Genomic DNA, 21,766 nt, shown 5'->3' on the forward strand with positions numbered 1-21,766 from the left:
GAAGATTTTTTCCCCATCACCTTGGGGATTAATATTTGGGCCCTCATTACTTATGCAAATTTCTGCAGCTGGCTTGAATTTCTCCTCAGAAAATGGGATTTTCTTTTCTATCACACTGTCAGGCTGCAAATTTTCTGAACTTTTATGCTCTGTTTCCCTTTTAAAACTGAATGCCTTTAACAGCACCCAAGGCACCTCTTGAGTGCTTTACTGCTTAGAAATTTCTTCTGCCAAATACCCTAAATCATCTCTCTCAAGTTCAAAGTTCCACAAATCTCTAGGGCAGGGGTAAAATGCTGCCAGTCTCTTTGTTAACATAACAAGAGTCACCTTTTCTCCAGTTCCCCAAAAGTTTCTCATCTCCATCTGAGACCACCTCAGTCTGGACTTTATTGTCCATATCATTATTAGCATTTTGGACAAAGCCATTTAACAAGTCTCTTTGGATTTCCAAACTTTCCTACAAAGTTTCGAACTCTGAGACCTCCAAACTGTTCCAAAGTCACTTCCACATATTCAGGTATCTTTTCAGCAGCACCCCAATCTACTGGTACCAATTTACTGTGTTAGTCTGTTTCCATGCTGCTGATGCTGATAAATACAGGGAAATTTACAAAAGAAAGAGATTTATTGGACTTATAATTCCATGTGGCTGGAAGCCCTCACAATCCATGGCAGGAGGTAAAAGTCACATCTTACATGGCAGCAGACAAGAGAAGAGAGCTTGTGCCGGGAAACTCCCGTTTTTATATAACCCTCAGATCTCCTGAGACTTATTCACTATCATGAGAACAGCAAGAGAAAGACCTGATCCAATGATTGAGTTATCTCCCACCAGGTCTCTCCCACAGCTTGTGGGAATTCAAGATGAGATTTGGGTGGGGACACAACCAAACCATATCAGTACCCATTAATCAAACTCTCTTGATTTTCCCATCCTCTCTACTTTCTCAGGCTCTGCTAAACACAAGTCTACTGTTTATCTCCATGAGATCAACTTTTTTAGCTCCCACATATGAGTGAGAACTTGAGATATTTGTCTCTCTGTTCCAGTTTTATGTAATTCAACATAATGATTTCCAAAGCTATGCATGTGGCTACAAATTAGAGTCTCATCGTGCTTTTTGGGTGAATAATATTCCATTGCATAATATATACAACACATTTTTTTATCTATCCATTGATGGACACTTAGGTTGATTCTACATCTTGGCTATTGTGAACAGCACTGCTTTTTTTTTTTTTTTTTTTTTTTTTTTGAGATGGAGTCTCGCTCTGTCACCCAGGCTGCAGTACAGTGGCCCAATCTCGGCTCACTGCAAGCTCTGCCTCCCAGGTTCATGCCATCCTCCTGCCTCAGCCTCTGGAGCAGCTGGGACTACAGGCGTCTGCCACCACGCCCAGCTAATTTTTTGTATTTTTAGTAGAGATGGGGTTTCATCGTGTTAGCCAGGATGGTCTTGATCTCCTGACCTCGTGATCTACCTGCCTCAGCCTCCCAAAGTGCTAGGATTACAGGCGTGAGCCATAATGCCCAGCCAGCACTGCTTTATAAACATGAAAGTGCAGCTATCTCTACAAATGCTGATTTCCTTTCTTGGTACATACCCATCAATGGTATTGCTGGATTATATGGTAACCATATTTTTAGTTTTTTGATAAACTTCTATACTGTATTTCAGAGTGGCTATACTAATTTACATTTTTATCAGCAATGTATGAGTGTTCCCCTTTCTCCACATCCTTGCCAGCATCTGTTGTGGTTTTGATGTGCATTTCCCTAATGATTAGTGATGTGGGTTATTATTTTCAGATATCCGACGGCCATTTGTATGTTTTCTTCTCAGAAATGGCTATTCAAATCTTTGCCTATTTTTTAATATTTTTTGTCAAGTTGAGTTCCTGATCTATTCTGATCATGATTTTTTTTTTTTGTCAAACAGATGGTCTGCAAAAATTTTGTGCAGTTCTGTAGATTGTCTTCTCACTCTATTGATTATTTCTTTGCTGTGCAGAAACTTTTTAGATTAAAGTAATACCATTTGTCTACTTTTATCTAGTTCCCTGTGCTTCTGAGGTCTTACCCAAAAAAATCTTTGCCCAGAGAAATGCCCTAACGTGTTCCCCCGATGTTTTATTCTAGAAGTTTCATAGTTGCAGGATACAAAATTTGAATAGACAATTCAGTAGTATTTCAATATGTTAACAGTGGACAATCTGAAAAAGAAATCAAGAAAGCAATCTAATTTTCAATAACTACACAAAATGAAATTAAATACCTAGCAATAATTTTAACCAAATAAGTACAAAATCTCTACCAGGTAAACTATTAATATAAAACCTGATAAAAAATTGAATAGGATGCACAAGAAAATGGAAAGGTATTCCATGCTCATGGATTAGAAAACTTAATATTGTTAAAATATCCAATTACCCAAAGTGATCTGCAGATTCAATGCAATCTCTATAGAAAGATCAATGACATTCTTCACAGAAATAGAAAAAGCCTCCTAAAATTCATACAGAAGCCACAAACCTTTAGTAACCAAAGAAATCCTCAGCAAAAAGTACAAAGCTGGAGGCATTATACTACCTGACTTCAAATTATACTGTAAAAATATAGTAACCGAAACAGAATGCCACTGGCATAAAAACAGACATATAAACTAATGGAACAGAATACAGAACCCAAAAAATAAATCTACACATTTACTGTCAATTCATTTTTTGACAACGGCACCAAGAGCATACACTGAAGAAAAGACAGTCACTTCAATAAGTAGTGCTTGGAATGCAGGATATCCATATGCAGGAGAAAGCAACCAGACCCCTCCCTCTCACCATATACAAAAATCAACTCAAAATGGATTAAAGACTTAAATGTAAGACATAAAACTTTTAATATTTGACATATTTACTAAATGGCCTACGTTTTGTGAAGCTTCAGTCATACAAAATTTTCTGACCCTTTTAAAAAAATTAGTTAGAGTTCTGTTGAGACAGATGAAATTATGTCCCTTAAGCTTAATTACTTTCAAGGTAAATATCTCTCTGTCACTCAATATTTCCACAGTTAGGGCAATCTCTGAGGTATGATATTCTAGAAGTTATTTGCATATTTTTATGGCATTAGATAATTTTCTTCACTTGTTCTAGTTTAATATTTTTCTCATCAACAATTACTGTTTTTACCTCTGAATTATCTACAGGGAGAATCTATTTGTATATGTTTTAGATTTTTTTACCTTTCTCCAACTTTCTTAACATTATCTCTTGTTCCTTTAGCCGTGATCTCTACTATGTAAAACCTAACTGTAATTATGCATAAATCACCTCTATCTTGACACAATTTATACATTTCATAAATTTATTTCACTCTTACTTAGCTTTCTTATCACCCCACATTTATAATTTATAAAAGACTTTGCTTGCTACATAGTTTACGCATCTGATGTTGATCTTTTGTATAATAACCTTTCCAGATGTTTCTTCAGTCAGTGCTTATTCACATCCTATGAAGGGTTACTCAGTTCTTTCTTAGAAAACCTATCCCATGTCTGCAAATTTTATTGCAAGACACACATTTAACCCAAAAGCATTCTGAATCTTTGGGCAAAACATTGCCTTCCACTTTCACCATGATTTACATAGGCACTCTATGATCAGATTATAATCAGGTTCTTTATTTAAGGCTGGCTAGATCATTTTCAGATCAATTCACTTTCCATAAAGTTTTACTTAGCATACTATTTTGTAAAATTAGGGCTTAATTCTACCTCTTTCTGAAAGTCCTTACTCATCAAATCATTCCTAATTAATTTTCATCTGTCATTTCTCCTCCATTTTTGAACCATGTCTGTAAGCAGTTCTATATCCACATAGAATAATAATAATGATAATAGCTTTCCATGTATATAGTTTTGCCCATAGTCTCAGCACCTATGTAAGTATATAGATTTATAAGTATATAATCTAAGTAGACATTCACACTATAAAAGAGTTAATCTTACTGTTCCCAGCTTACAAATAAGAAAAATGAACCCAGAGGGATTACACCATTTCCAAATTTCTAGTAAGTAGTAGAACTATGACTAAAAATCAGGCATGTCTGTCTTTAAAGTCCTTTCCTTAACCACTAGCCAATGCTATATCTTATATGCAAAATCTCTTTCATACTTTAAAAAATAAAATTACTACAAACAGGAATTAACATTCTTTCATCTCTAATGCCAGGCTCCCAATTTGTGGGTTCCAGTGGAAAAAAAATCTGAGACCTCTTTTTCAAATGGTAACATGTAACAAATAGTAATAGCAGCAAATATTCCAAAAATGTGCTGTTAAAGGTACTAAAATATAGAGCATTTTTCATCATTCTTTGATCTCTTTCTTTAGTTGCCCATGGTGCATTTTATTTGCTTTTGATACTATTCTAAGTAAAAAAAAATTAGGTTATCTATCATGATAAATGATGTAGATTTAGTGTTCATTTTTTATTATACAATGACAGTTTTAATACACATATAAAAGCATTTAGCTCATATATGGAATCCCCAAACTTATAGATTTTTTATAGCTCAGCATACATATACATGTATTTTATTCTTACTAGAACAGTAGACTGGACAAAACTAGCATGACTTTTTATTTCACTTTTTGATACTTGTTGGCATATTTGCCAAAATTATATTTGGCTTACTAATGAATAAGATAGAACTGAAATAAAATGTAAACTCTGTGTTGCCCTGTCTTTATCTTTCACTCTATGTCATAATTTTCAGTGTAGTAGTTAGCTATAGAGGGAAGTAACATGAGTGAAAAAGAATATGTTTATTTGTTTGTGTTTATCAGAATACCTTTGCCTTCTTTCTGCGTTCAAAGCAAGATCTGGTTTGAATAGAAAGCATGACTACTTGGGGCTGTCAGAGTCTTCACTTGGTCAGTTGTAGACATAACACACTTTGTTTTTGCTTTCAGTCTTGCTGAATTCCCACACATCGTGGTTATACCACAATTGTGTGTTTATTCTTGTAGGGTATTGGAAACAGTACACATGAATACGGTGTCAAGGAATTGAAAACATATTGTACATATCTCCTCTGTTCAGCTTCTTGCTCCATTTTCTCATCAAACTTCACTTTGAAACCACAAATTTAAAGACAAAATTGTCAGTAATTTCAAGAAGATGACAGCAGAGAATTAAACTGACTCACTCACATTCACTTTCTCACAAATTTAGCCCAGATCCTCTCTTTCTTGTTTCTTACATATTGTACCTATAATTATTTTTACAAATTTTATATATACCTTTCTAACGCATAGAATACAGCACTATTTATATATTAAATTATTAATACTGCTTATATTTTGAGTTGATAGAAATGTCAGGATCTATCTATATACAGTGTTGCACTATATATATATAAAATTGATCATTTATATATAAATTATATATATTATATGTTATATAATATATATTTTAAATTATATATATAAATTATATATAAATATATATTATAATTATATATATAAATTATATATCTATTTTATATATATATAAAATTGATCATTTGCTTGTCAGAATTGATGAGCATGGCATAAGAACAGACTTCCAAAATGCTTTGTCATATAGCCTCAAAATCAGATTGTAAACAATAGCAACACAAGAAGTATTATCTCAAGGTTTCAAAACAATCTTGACATTTAAATAAGGTCATATATAGTTGACAGATGCCTACACATCCATTAAGATCCAGCTTAACTATAACCTCAAGGAGGTTTGTGCTGCTTAGTCTACCATAAAAATACTATTTTCTGCCACCATAGTAACCTGAGAACCCTCAAGCATACTATTTCTGGCAAACATTTAAATTAATTATTCACTTGTCTCTTTCTAAATTAGACTGTGCATTCAATGAGGCAAATTTTGCTTCTTATTTATAGTTTAATCTGTAGCAGTGAATATGCTGGCTTTCCTCATATGTGGTCAGTACAATTCAACATCCAATTAGTTTGCTACAATTCAAACCTAATTTTTCAATTTCCTCTTAACTACCATGATATATATTTTCATCTTCAAAAGTGAGTGGTTAGGTTCAATAAGTGTTAACTAAGAATTTTGCAGAAAAACAGCAGACAAAAGTATTCTGAATATTTTTGCTATGTTGGAAATAGGCAGAGTTAGACATCTGTACCTCCTCAGGCCAATGTAAGGAAACATCTGCGAAGTACACATTAAACAAAACATACCATGTATTCAGCCAGAGTGAGATGGTGCAGAGCCAGAAGGGAAAACTAAATAAATTTAAAAAGAGAATTGCAGGGATAGAACTGTGATGTATGGCTCTATCTCCACACTTAATGTTATGTTGCTATGGTATGACTGGCTGAATTAATCCAACTGTATTGGTTAACAGATAAAAGAACAAATTGGACTATCTAACAGAATTGCAAGGTTTGCCAATTTTCGTCTTAACCAGTTAAATAAATAAATACATCTTTTAATGGAAGAATCTATAAATCTATAAAATCTACTAAGCAAAAATAGCACCAATTCAGAAAGAACTATAGAATAATAATTTTTTTAATCTGTATTCAAAAACCTGGCCATCTGCTGTGACAAGCAGGATTAGATCAGTAGTAGCAGTTCTGAGTCAGAGGAAGAAATGATGTAAATGGTAATTGAAATTAGATCTCAAATTACTTTTGAATCTTTACCTTTCACATAACTATTCCAAACAAACCCCTCCCCTATCTCAATCACCATAACCTTCTCTGTTCTACTTTTAACACACATTTATTTGGACTACTTTTAAATTTATATAACTATTATAAAGATAGTATAAATTCCAATATACCTTTCACCATTTCCCCTAATCTTAACAAAGCCATGACACATTTGTAATAATAAGAGATTAACATCGGTACTTCTCTTTTATCTAAATTACAGACTTTATTTGTATTTCATTAGTTTCCACTAATGTCATTTTTCTATTCTGGGGTCCAATCTGGGATATCACATAAGATTTAATCTTCTCCTTGGTCTCTACTAATTGTGATATTTTTCAAGTTTTTTTTTTGTGATCTTAAGAGTTTTTTAAAGTCATGGTCAAGTATTCAATGTGGATTTGTCAGATGTTTTTTCACCATCAGACTGGAGTTCCAGATTTTTGAAAAAAAATACTTATGTGATGAATTATGCTTCTCTTTTGATCATATCTGAAGGTACATTATATCAGTTTGACTTATCACTATAGCATAAAACTTGATCACTTGGTTAAAACCTTCCAAGTTTCTCTTGTGTAAAGTTTCTATTTTTACTGTTCCAAACTATGTTCTAAGTCACTAAATCCAGACCACACTCAATGGGAAAGGAATTAAGCTCCATCTCCTGGAGTACAAATTTCTTTAAAAATTATAAATTTCTATCCTCTTTATTTATTCATTCATTAAATAATTTATTTATGTAAGTATGAACATATGTTTCCACTTCAGGCTATAATCTATTATTCCCTTTCGTTGTTTTGTTTTGTTTTGTTTTTGCTTTTTCTTTCAGCTTGGCCACTGGAGCTTCTTTCAGGTTGGCTCCTATTTCCCTTTCCCATACCCCAAACTTTCTTTGACACTATGAGTTGTCACAGGATCATGTTCGATTTATCTTGCTCAAGTCCTGGAATCAGCCATATTTTAAAGAGCTTTCATTCCCTTATTGAAGAATAGTATTAGAAACCCAAATCTGTGTTCCCGGTGTGTTGATGCTGCTGGACTATTGCTGCTTCTAGGCCCTGTAACGAACAGGGCTAAAAATGTATATATAAATAATAATCCATGCATAAACATGTATCTATAATTATATCTGTATCTATCTGTGTATATTAAAATAAACATTAGTTCACACTGATATCTCAGATTCTAATCCAGCACACTAAGACGTTCATTGTTGTTTTACCCTTTTGTTTATTTATAGCTTCTTTATCTGAGAGTGAGAAACCAGCCTCCCATTAACTATAATTTATTTATTTTGTTAAACCCTACTATACTTGCGACATATTTTCAAGGTGATAAGCCATACCCTTAGGAGAAATAAACTTACTAAAGTAGTATTTATGTACGGTTATTTTTCTCTATATTCTTACAGTTTCCTCTCAAAACATCATCCTACAAAGTTACTTAAGTCAGTTCTTATTTTTCCTACCACCTACAGTGAGGTTGCATCATACATTTGTAATAAAATTATATCATTTTCTTCAGTCTACAGTCTATCCTTGGACTCCCAAATCCAGTTGATTGTGATTTTCATGTACACATATTGAATTTCATTCTTTGTGATGTACATTTTATAGGAGTTTGACAAATGCATACCATCAGTTATCCACAACTCTAGTAACATAGAGAACAGTTACATCGCTCTGAAATTTTCTCTGCACAGCTTGTTTTAGTCACCACTTCTCTCCTCCCTTAATCACTGGCAATCACTGATTTTTTTCTGTGCATATGGGTTCTGTTCTTCTTGGACCTGGCTTCTTTCACTTAACAAAATCTTATTAAGATTTATTCATGTGGTAGCAAATCAACAAGTTGTTCTCTTTTATTGTTTAGAAGTGTTCCACTGCATGATTGTATCACAGTTTGTTTATTCACTCAACTGTTAAAGAACATCTTAGTTTTTACCAACTTGTGGCTATTAAGAATAAAGGTCCTATAAGCTATAAATATTCACATACATATTTTTATGTGAACATGCTTTTTCAACTTGCTTGGAGAAACACCAAATATAGGGATTGCTACATTGAATACTATGCGTAATATAGTTCAACTCTATAAGAAACTTTTACACTGTCTCTAACGTAATTGTACCATCATGCATTCTCATCACAATGAATGAGAGTCCATGTTACTCTACATCCTGATGAGCATTTGCTGTTGTCAACAATTTAGACATTCTAATAGTTGTATAGTGATATCTCACTTTGGTTTTAATTTCAATTTTTCTAATGACAAATAGTGTTGGGCATTTTTATATGCTTCTCTGCCATCTATATATTTTCTTAAAGTGCCTATTCTTTTGCACACTTTGTTTTCTTAGTATTGAGTTTTACTCCATTTTACTTTTAAGTATAATACTCTAGAAAGTATTTTTTAAGTATCAGAATAGATTGAGATGAAAGATTGGCAAGAGGCTCTAGTTGATCTCCTTTGTCTATCGACTTAATCATGGTTTACTCAATGCAGTATTTTGGCATTCAAACAAATGTTCCCTTGCCTTTCCCTACCTTTCTGCCATGTATCACTTCCTGCAAATCCTAAGTATTAATTTCTTCTCTCCCTTGAAACTCCACCACCTTCATGAAACCCAAATTTATCAACTGAAAAGATAGAAAATTAAGCTAGATTACTTATAATGTAATATATAGCCAGAATTTTGTGATTTTGTGAGAACTTCCATGATTTTCAAGAGTATAGATGCAATCTGAATTTTCTTTCTGAATTATTTGTTTGGAAGGGGGCATGTATTTTCTATGATATTCATGGGTACATATATTTCTCTGTCAAAAAGACTCTTAAATCACTTGAGAGTTTTGATTTTTAATTATCTATATCTAGTTAATGATTATACATAGATAACTAATAAAAAAGAAATATTATGGTTTGACTTCAAAGTAAAGCAAGTTTGATATGTTTTTAAGTTTATCTGGAATGAAGTCATTTCTGATAGAAGTTGTTTGTCTCTCTTGGATTTGTTGATTGAGAGAAATCTTGTCATCTGGTTTTTACTTAAATACAGTTTCAGACTGAATTGTATCTTTCCTACAGACATTTATTAAAATAGACACATTTTTAAAACCTATTTTATAATTTGGTATGTGGCCAGCTCTCTGTCATATTTGGTGCCTTAAAAACACCTTTCATGAAAGCTTGTGAGAATTTTCCATGGCCAGATTCAGCTATCTGTCATAGTCAGGTGGAAAAAGAATCCTCCAAACCAGTGTCACACTGCAATGGCAGGGTGATGCAAGCCATTTGGGGATCAAGGGTAATGGGTGATAGCCTTTTTAGATTTTTATCCCATTGTCATGTAAAGGTATATGTACACCTTATATATTTCAGTTTTACTAATTACTGTACCGCCATGCATTTTTAAAATGAAAACTGATTTCTAATATTCATTATCCTGATTTACAAACTTTGTAGTGATAGTGTGAGATAAGGAGAGTTGACTCTTCTGTAGCATATCAGTTCACCCTTGAGCAACATGACTTAGAATTGCATAGGTCCACTTATACATAGATTTTTCAATAAATATGTCAGAAATAGTTTTTGAGAATTGTGACAATGTAAAAAACTCAAATCATGCGGCCTAAAACATTTTAAAAATTAAGAAAAAGTTAGGTACGTCATGAATGAATAAAACGTATGTAGATACTAGTTTGTTTTATTATATACTGCAATAAAGTATATGCAAATCTAAAAAGTTAAAATTAGGAAACATTAAAATTTATCAAAAAGTATACATACAAACCCAGAGTGTCCATTGTGCCATTTTCAGTCCAGAGATATGTAAACAAATGTAAAGGTGCAGTAGTAAATTACAACTGCATAAAATTAACTGTAGCAATACTGCACGACAGTTATGATTTTGTAACCACCTTCTATTGCTATTTCAGTGAGCTCAAGTGTTGCCAGTATCTGCTTAAAATGCCATCCATGCTAAATATCTCTTGTGAGCAGTTTGTCTACCTAATAAGATGCTTATCACAGTAAAGAGTGATCTTTTGAGGTTCTCATGTTTTTTTTATTGTGTTTAGTCCTATACTCTAATACTATAAATAACACCATGGGACCTATAAGAAGTGACACTAGTGATAATGTAACTGCACCTAAGAAGCTGAGCAAAGTCATGACGTTACAAGAAAAAGCTGAATTTTTTGATATGTATCTCATTTGAGGTCTGAAGCTTACTGCCATTGCACACATTTCAAGATAAAGGAATCTAGGGTAAAGACTATTTACAAAATGAATAAGAGAAGAAAACTCTAAAAGCTATGCTGTAGCTACGCCAGAAGGCACAAGGACCTTGCATTTTTTGTAAAATATCTTTTCACTCATATTGAAAATATAGCTATTTGGAAAGAGTATTGCTGTAAGAAAGGCTTACCTAAAGACTATAATATGATTTGAGGAAAAGCAAAACCATTATATGAAAATTTAAAGCAAAAGAAAAGTGAAGGATCTGAAGCTGGAGAATGGAATGTCAGCAAGGGATGGTTTAATAATTTTCAGAAGAGTTTTGGATCAAAAAACTTTCCAGATAATAAGAAAAGCAACTTCTGCTAACCAAGGGGCAGCAGTTGCATTAGTTCCCTGGTGTCATTAGGAAAATACTTAAGAAGAAAAAATATGTACTTGAAGAGATTTTGAATGCAGATAAAATGTGCCGTGCTCTGGAAAAAAAAATTGTCACAAAAAACACTTACTAGTAAGAAAGAGCAGTAAGCATCATCAGGACTTAAAGCAGGAAGGAATAGGCTAACTACAGTTTTGTGCAAATGCAGTCAGATTTATGTCCTGGACTGCCCTTATCTACAAAAATGCTAAGCCCCAAGCCTTGAAAACAAAAGATAAACACCAGCTGCCAATCTTTTCGTTGTATTATATAAGAAGTCCTGGGCAATTAGTACTCTTTCTTTAGATTAGTTGCATTGATGCCTTGTTCCTGAAGTCAGGAAGCACCTTGCCAGTAAGAAACTGCCTTTAAAAGTTCCTTTGCTATTAGACAACTCCTCTGGCCACCACAAAGCCCACGAGTTCAACATCTAAAGCATCAAAGTGGTCTACTTGTCCCCAAGCACATCTTTGATTCAGCCTCTATATCAAGGGCTTATAAGGACCTTTAAGGCTAATTACAAATGGTGCTCTATGAAAAAGGTTGTCAATGCTATTTAAGTAACCCCAATAGAGAGAACATCGTGAAAGTCTGAAAGGATCACAGCAATGAAGATGCCGTTGTTGTTATAGAAAAAAACATGAAAGCCATCAAGCCTAAAACAATAAATTCCTGTTGGAGAAAATTGTGTTTAGATGTTGTATGTGACTCCTCAAGACTTATGACAGAGTCAGTAAACGTAATCATCAAGGAGACTGTGGATGTGGCAAAAATGCCAGAGGGATGAAGGGTTTCAAAATATAAATCTTGAAGGAATTCTAGAGCTAACAGACACCACATCAGAGGAATTAACAGAGACAACTTTTTCAGATGAGTGCTTCTGAACCAGTGCCAGACAATGAAGAAGAAGGTGTAGAAGACACTGTGCCAGAAAAATAATTGACGTTTCTTAATTGGTGGCTGCTTTTGGGCCAACGGGCCCAACTATCTGGGAGAAGGATTCTGATTATTCAAAACTTCTTTTGACTTCCTTTATGACTGAGACCCTTTTGTGATATAGGTGCTAAAACTAAAGCAAACAATCGCAGATGGCTGGTAAGGTATAGAAATCTTTTTAGAGAAATGAAAAAGCAAAAAATCACCTAGAAATCACGATTTACTTCTCTAAATTACACTGAGTGCGCCTGCCTCTTCTGTCTCCCTTTTCAACTCCTCCACCTCGTCTGCCTCTGCCATCACTGAGACAGCAAGACCAACCCCTCATCTTCCTCCTCCTCCTCCTCAGCCCACTCAATATGAAGATAATGAGAATGAAAAGCTTTATGATGATCTACTTCCACTTAATAAATAATAAATATATTTCCTCCCCCTTATGATTTTCTTAATATTGTTTTCTCTAGCTTACTTTATTGTAGAATACTTTGTAATACATATAACATACAAAACATGTGTTATCAACTGTTTATATTATCAGAAAACAGTACGATGTTACAACAGTAGGCTATTAGTCAACAGTAGGCTATTAGTAATTAACTTTTGGGGAGTCAAAAGTCATAAGCAGATTTCTGACTATGCGGGAAGTTACTGTCCCTAACTCCTGCATTGTCATCTGTATATTTACAGAGTGGACTTTCTGATAAACTGCTAGGAGTTCATCTTTGGTGTAAAAGTTCCCTTAAAAGGCCATGAATTCCCCCTAGGCTATACCTTAAACTAATTAATACAGACAAATAATGACACTATGTTGAATATTTCAAATCAAATTACATACATCAATATAAATGGTAACTATCATCTTGATTCTGATGTAGAATGACATACATGTTTTGTAAAACAAAAAAAAGATATGTGTACAACATTTCACAATCTGAGATCTAAAACCCACATAACCCACGAGCCAAAAAAAAAAAAAATAGCTTAGTTCTGGGTGACTTGTTCTTCCTGGAGATCTAAAATATTGACCTTCTTTCTTTTCTTTCTTTTTTTTTTCAAAATACTCAGATTTTTATTTAATAATTTCACCTCAAAAATTTTGGTGTGAATTGATATTTACCTGTTTATTGTGTATTTCACAGAATAAAATATAAATTATTCAAACACAAGGTGTAGTTTGTCATTTTATATCCATTGTCTGGCACAATATCTGGACTTAATTGTTATTCAGTAAGCATGCCATTGGTCAGTGGTTTTCAGAATTCAATTTTCTCTATTTAAATTTGTCGTCTGGCTCTTTTCCTATTTTATGTGACTAAGAGTGTGCAATTGCTAAATATTTTCATTTGAAATGTGTCCAACATGGCAAATTCAATTTGTCAGACTTGGAAATGTGAAGTCACTTAACATGGCCAGCTGCTCTCTTAGTATCGCTTCACCTACAACTAATAAAATACTTGACCAACTGGAACAGAAATGGAACTTTAACAAAAGAAATGACCAAAGCAGTATGCACCAGCCAAACAGCTGCTCTGGTTTTAGGCTAGTCTTAATTAACAATAGTTATTTACATCTTTCCATTGAATGTATTATCTATTGGAAGAAGTAGTAGTGAGTTAACTAGTTATTATCACAAAGTTAAAAAAAATCTTGCTACGACCATTGGAATTTTCTGCTACCATCAGCTAATTTTAACATTTACTTTTCTGACAAAATTGTCCAAAATGTCTTTGAATTTCTATGTGCCAAACATTGAACTGCACAATTCATAATTCATTATTCATATATACTATGAACTTTCCCTTTCATTTTCTACCACAATTACTCTGTGTGTACTAGTTTAACCCTAGTTTCACAGATGGAGAAACTGAGGCAGAGAGCATTTAGACAACTTGCCTAAGGCCACTCAGCTGGAAAATAGAGGAGGTAGGATTCAAATCTCATCAGACTGGTTCCAGAATACATACTCTTAAACAATGTGTCCCCCACCACTGCATTCATATTTTTAGTGCTCTTTCATTCCCATAAAATACATGTAAAAGAGTACTCATAGCAGCTATTTCAAAATAGCTAAAACTCAAAATGCAATTTCCATCAATAAAGCAATGAATAAATAAACTGTGGTATACAAATGCAATGTTCATACACATCAATAAAAGTAATGAATTACTGATACACTTAAAATGGATGTCTTATTGAAGTAATTAAGAAGAAAACAAGCCAAACACTAGAGTATATACTCTGTGATTCCATTTATATGGAGTTCCAAAACAAACATCTCTAACTGATGATGATAGAAATTATGCTGCTTTGCTCTTTGGACATGATGCATTGACTTGAGTGGGCTATATGTATACAAAAACGTTCTGATGTGATGGGAAGTTTTATATCATGATCTAGACGGTGAGGAAACAGTCATAAAAGATACACGCTTAAAATGTTTGCACATCATATACTTCACTGTATTTATTATATGGCTCAATTAAGATAATCATTGATATATTCTAAGTCCTCTTCTGCTTAAGCAACTCTTCCTGTTACCACTTTTATGCATTTAAGAAATTATTGAAACCTCTTCTAAAACTTGGGGTTCATAAATAAATATATGAGTCATTCCCTTATAAAATTACAAGTATGTTCACTACTTTTCTGACACTACCTCATTACAAACCATTCAATTCTGGTGAATTAAGTGCATAATAACAGGTTCTCTCACTGTCTTCTTGGGCTTCTAAGGGATAATGTCAACAATCAAATGAGAAACGTAATTGCTGTTCTCTTTGGAACAAAATGTAAATTAAAATTACTCTTTATTATTTTTAATATACCTGGTTGCCTCCAAAATTCTCATATTTATTGCTTTATTTATCTTTTTCTCTTCTCAAAATTTCATTTTAAAGTGTTGGTTTTTTGCTTTCTCTTATCACTTAGCCATCTTTGAATAAATACTTTCCAGTTTTCTAAAATCCTTTCCAGTTGTTTATTTCATGATTTAACATCATGAAAATTTCAGCCTTTTATTAGAAACTATTGCTCAGAAAAAATTATTATCTATATAGACTTCTAATAACTTTCACTATGCTTCTTTTTTTCCCTTGTCACTTTCTGCTAGTGATGCACATATTGAAAACACTGTTTATTTCACCCAACATTTTAGTTTCCAGCTGGAGATTTCTTCTGGCCATATCAATCTTTCACGCTGAGTCAAGGAAGAGTCAACTGAGTTGTTGAATTTTCCTGAAATTTCTAATCAGAAATATAGGAAAAGTAGTTCAGCTGGCTCTGCCTAAGACTACAATGCAGTACTCTCAGCATAGAGTCAGCAACCTACATGTTTTGTTTTTTCTTTCTGTGTTTTGTAACATTATTTTTGCACCAGCTAGCACAAGTAAATAATTGTTCTTTGTCCATTGTGGGATGCCATTGCTTTAGCAGAAATTTCAAATTTATCCTCTTTCCTGCTGAATTCCTGATCATAGGTAAAGTTTTTTTGGTTTTGATCTTTCATTATTTACTTCTTTGTAACTCTTTAATTTTCAGTCTTCCCCAAAACATCCCTGCCAGCTCACCTATTCTTTAGAGTTATTTCTTCAGCTCTCATAATCCAGAGATACAGAAGCATTCCTATGATACAGAAAGAACAGCACATTATTTCTCCTTAGACAATGGGAAAATATATTGAAGCAATAACACAAATATAGAATGCCCCCTGTAGCTCACAAAAACTTCTCCTTAGCAACTGTCTATTGTGGATCTCATATTAATTAGAATCCTATGTGGTAATTCATGAACCTTTCTTTACCATACCTGCTCAGTGCTCATTGTCCTTAATCTAATTGTTTTCTCCCTCTTAAAAAAAATGTGTTGGCACAATTTACTGTAAAATAAAGCCTATTTCAAATACTAATTTTTCACACTTTTAGTAATATTGGTATTCTGAGAGATTATTTCTGGTTAAAGAAATACATCATATAGGTTTGTCTACACACAGAAATATTTATTTGAATGTATATAGGCTATTACAAATAAAAATTTATGTATGAAATAATGCAGATAGATTGCAAGTCTTCTTAGAAAGAATGCCATGCTTGTTAGAAGAATGATTTGACCAGTGTCTGAAGTAGAAAGTAAGCCAACATGGCACATATATACATATGTAACAAACCTGCACGTTGTGCACATGTACCCTAAAACTTAAAATACAATAAAAAAAAAAAAAAAGAAAGTAAGACATTCAACACTTTCGGAAAGAAGTTCATCTATAGTACAAAGGTGAAAAGGAAATGGAACTCCAGAGAACAAACCAGGAAGCTAAGATAAAGAATAGAGGCAGGGAATAAGAGACCCAATTAAGATTTTTTTTCATGTCATAGGTATATATCAAGAACTCGTTATGTTCCAGGCATTCAAGTTACTGAGAATACGTAAGAGAATGAGAGCTAGGTTTCCAACTCTCGATGGCCTGACACTCTAGTAGGCAATAAAAGACAATAAACAAGTAATTTTGTTGGCAATTTTAGATGTTAACAGATACAATGAAGAGAATAAAATAAGGCAATGAAATGGAGAGTGAAAGTAGAGAACTCTAGAAGAAAGTGGTCAGAGATGTCCCTGTAGGGAGATGGCCTGTAATTCTGTGGAAGAACGTTAGAAGGGAGGAAATAGCTCTGCGCTGCATGCTGAGGCCTAAATCAGGAACTGCCAACCCAAATCTTCAGTGATCCACTAAACTTATAAATGTAAAGTGATTTTTTTTTTTTCTGGTTGAGGCAGAGTCTAGCTCTGTTGCCTGGCTGGAGTGCAGTGGCGCGATCTCGGCTCAGCGCAATCTCCGCCCTCCCGGGTTCAAGCGATGATTCTCCTTCTGCCTCAGCTTCCTGAGTAGCTGGGATTATAGGCACGCACCACCACGCCCGGGTAATTTTTTTTTTTTTTTTTTTTAGTAGAGACGAGGTTTCACCATGTTGGTCAGGCTGGTCTCGAACTCCTGACCTTGTGTTCGGCCCGCCTCGGCCTCCCAAAGTGCTGAGATTACAGGCGTGAGCCACCGTGCCCGGCAATATAAGAATAAAAACATATACCTGCATTTCATGGTGAGAGCAAGAGGATGAAAGGAAGAACAGAATACATATGAGGAAGCTACAGCTTCAGAGGTAGAAAAAGCAGGCTACAACAAGGCTTGAGAGTCACACTATCCATATGTAGGACTTCTTCTCTGTTATTTAAGTCTAAGTATATTAAAATATTGACAGTGATATCTAAACAACTAAGGCAGAAGTAGAGAAAGTTCAATAAAGATGTGTATAGGAATGTGCATTTTAATCTAGCAACACAAAATATCAAATATTCTCCAAAGCACTAAATACCTTGTCATACTATGATGCATAAAATATTAAAAGCAGGAATATATATATATATATGTATCTTTCTGTTTCTCTCTCTGAGATTGGAAATTTGGATTTTAAGGATTTTCTGAAGATTGTAAGCTTTTAAAAATCTGTTTCATGATATGAAGTGAGCTAACTCTATTATATGTTCATACATATGTGTGTGTGTGTGTGTGTGTGTGTGTGTATGTGTGTATATATATATATATATATATTAGACTGTCTTTTATCTTAACTAAAGAGAAAAAATGAGGTAGCACCAGATACAACTAAAGAAAAGAAATGAGGTAGCAGCAGAAACAAAAATTAATTATCCAAAATAGGGTAGAATACAGGAAGAATACTGGCATTCATAACTGAATTACTCCACCATCTGGTACTCCTAGACAGCTGTGAAATTAGTTAACCTCTCTATGATAGCTTCATCATATTTAAAATGAATCTAAATAATTATCACTGGATTCGGGTGAATATATGAAATCGTATAGTAACGATTGTAACAATGATGACGCGAATCACTAAAATAATGTTTTTATTTAAAACACATACTCTGGACTTAAATTGCTTAGACCTAAATTCCAACATTGTCACTTAGTAGTTGTACTGCTTATTAACCTTGAGGAAGCCATGAAACTCTCCAAAATTCAGGGTTATCAGAAGTATTAAGGAGTGATCCTAACAGCACCTATATTTATATATGTACCATATATTCATTATTTCTGTAAAAGCATGAATGGGAGCCAGTCTATTATTTTCAAAATGACATAGTTTATTAGTTATGTTGATTATTTTTCCTTGATGCCACTTCTTTTTTTCAATATTTGATTTTGAAAGGTCACCTTAAGAGTAGAAAGTTTAAATTATTTTCTCTTTTTGGATAGCTTTTATAATAAGTTTGTTATGAACATTTGTTACTTGTGGAATAATTGAGTTTTAAGGATTTTCTGAAGATTTTAAGCTTTTAAAAATGTGTTGCTTGATATCAAGTGAGCTAACTCTATTATATGTTTCTTTATCCTTACAATCTTGGAAAATAGGAAAATCCCAGAAGCAGCCAGAAAGTTCAAATGTTAACAATCTCAGCCTATCCAAACCCTTCCTCTATGCTAAAGGGAGACATTGAATGCCTGGTTTATTTTACCAGCTTCAACTGCAGTAGCCAATAAATAGAACCATTTAGTACCATTATCTCTATTTGGAAAAAATACTCATCCCTGTTAGATGCCTACCTGCTATCTGCTCTGATCAGTGCCTCTTCATTCCCACCCTCTTCCAGTGACCTCCACAATTCCAAATTATAGGAAAAAGATTTCTCTTTTAACAGTATCACATTCTTTTGAAAAATCACCTGACATTATGCCTTGCATTTTTGGGTTTGCACCAGAATCCTGAAGTACATCCGGGGGCTCTCCTGCATTGCCATCTTTTGTTATACCACTTAACATCACCCCTGAAACTAGTCCAAAGAAGGTTTAAATGGAAGACACTTAGTGCCATTTACTGTGTTGTATCAAATTAAGTATTCTTTCATATCTCAACAGTATATCAATGCAGCTCATTCTCTAATATATATTCCAGCTAACAGGTTATAAAGTGACTTGTTCGCCAGTAGCTTAGCAAATCTTCTAATGTGTAATTGCTAGTATCAAAATGTGCAGATAATAGTATTGTATTTGTTTAATTTCCTCATCTGAGTCTCTGACAGCATGTTTTGCCTGAATTCACAAAGGAAACACAGTTCAAGACATCAGTATGATCTCTATTTTATATGTACATGTTACATTTAATATGCAGCTATTAGTGGAGAGTTCCAATGTATATTATCCCTATAAACATTTCTACCTTAGTCACTGTCATTTAAGCAAAATGGTAAAATAATATAATGTTATGAAATCAAATGAGTAAATTTCACATTCAAAGAACAAATCTAAATTTGTAGCCCTGAATGTAACTTGGAAGAGATGTTCATTATTTGCCTGCTCCAATAAGAAAATACACAGCTAGTAGTGTCAGTAGCTGTGCATAGGTAAAAGGCAAGAAGACACTACTCTCTTACAGATATTTAGAACAATGCTAGTGAGTATTGCAGGCAAAAACCAGGTGGATTGATTCATAAAGCTTTATTTTGAATTATAGAAGTCCTTTGGAATACATGGTGGATTGGTTTCAGGATCACCCTCCATAGCAAAATTCACACACACTCAAGTCCTACAGCTGGTCCTGTGGAACCCAATATATAAAAAGCCGGCCCTCTCATATATGCTTGTTGAAAAAAATCTGAGTATAAGTAGGCCTGTGCAGTTCAAACTCCAGTTGTTCCAAAGTCAAGTATGTAATGTAGTTGAGTAGCCTACATGATTAAGGACAAGAAATAACTAAGCTTATAAAATCTCATTATTTTGGATTAACAGAACCTTCTAAGAACATATAGGGAAATTACATAGAATCCATATATCTGTGTTTGGGGAGATTCTTTGAGGTGACAATAATTCTTGAGAAAAGGAACAAGCTGGTTCATGATATCACAGTACTTCAAATACAGAGAGAGAGAGAGTCAGTCATGAGACAGAAGGATGTAAAGATCTATGTTACAAAAAACAACTACCCCCAAATTTAAATTTGCAGACAGACAAATTATAAATTAAATGGCAATATAAGTTAAATGTAAAGGATTCTTTTATTTAATATCGTACTTTGAGAAATCTAGGCAGAGATAGCAAATGCTGTGTCATTTTGAATAAATTACTCAAATAAACTCAAGTAACCATTTCATTATACAATGATGTGGTGCACCTGAAAAAGATTAATAGAACCTTATAAGAGTAGGCCCAGAATCAGAAATAATTTATTTGGTGGTTATCTAGTAAAGTATTGAACAACTTAAAGATTTCATAAATACTTATAGAAAACTAAATGGATGTATATATCTTTGTTATTTATGATGGATTTTTAAATGTATGGTTAACATTCTGGATAATGTTAATAATTTAAATCTAAAATGTTTATAAAGTTATTCTATTTTTTAAATTTTCTATAAACTTTCAAGTTACATTACCTCTCAGGATACTGCAATACTGGTATTGAAATAGGGGCGGTCTTCTATACTTATGTATAAAATCTGGTCCCCAAACTGAGAAATCAAGGACAGGAGGCTTCCAGAAAGTAGGGGGATGTTATTTCATTCCTATTCATTTTTACTCTAAAATGTTGATGTTTGCAGCTTAAAGTACACTTATTTTTAAGGTGATATCTAGTAAATAAATAACACAGATCTGGTTTTCTTTGAAAACATAATTTGGTTCATCTATTTCATAAATAAAATTTATAGTGCCATTTTCATAGCAGCTAAAGTAAAATAAATATCTTAATATGCATTTTATGAAAACATGATGAATTAGTATTATCCTCTGATTATTTTTAGAAAACATAATTGGCACAATTTGTACAAAATGAAACATTGCAACTATTTGTTTATCAAATTATATTTCTGGGAAAAAAATGGTCATATTATTGGGATACCAGTACAAAAAATTAAATGAACAGAAAATTTTGATACAAAACTCAGCATTGCAATTTTGGTAATTTTGTTAGTAGAACAGAAAGTTGCTTTAAATATGTTCTGTTGAACTTGTTTTCAGTCTCAGTGGGTAGTAAAACAAAATAGTAATTTTGTTGGAGGAAAATAGAAATCAATTGGGTGCATTCACTATTCTGCATGCTGTGAATTGAAAGAATGCTTGAAATAATGTGTTTTTACAACACTATCTGATTTTCGGGTTCACTGTTCTTCTACTTGGTCATTTAAAATAAAACTTCAAGTTATATACATGTGTTGAAAGGGTAAATGCTTTTTATTTAGGTACAGAACACCAATCTCAAGATGGATCTAAATCCAATTTAAAGATGATTTGATTTTTATAGGCACCTAGGTAAGAAAAACGGATAAATAAATATGTGTACCAGTTCAGTTGTCATGGAAATCAGGGAACGAAAATGAAGTATTTTACTCATGGACTGTTTTTTGGTCCAGTTTACCATTTCTTATTATCTGTTTTCCATGTTTACA

The sequence above is a fragment of the Homo sapiens genome, chromosome 5 (genome assembly GCF_000001405.40).
Source record: "Homo sapiens chromosome 5, GRCh38.p14 Primary Assembly".
In the NCBI taxonomy this organism is placed as follows: domain Eukaryota; kingdom Metazoa; phylum Chordata; class Mammalia; order Primates; family Hominidae; genus Homo; species Homo sapiens.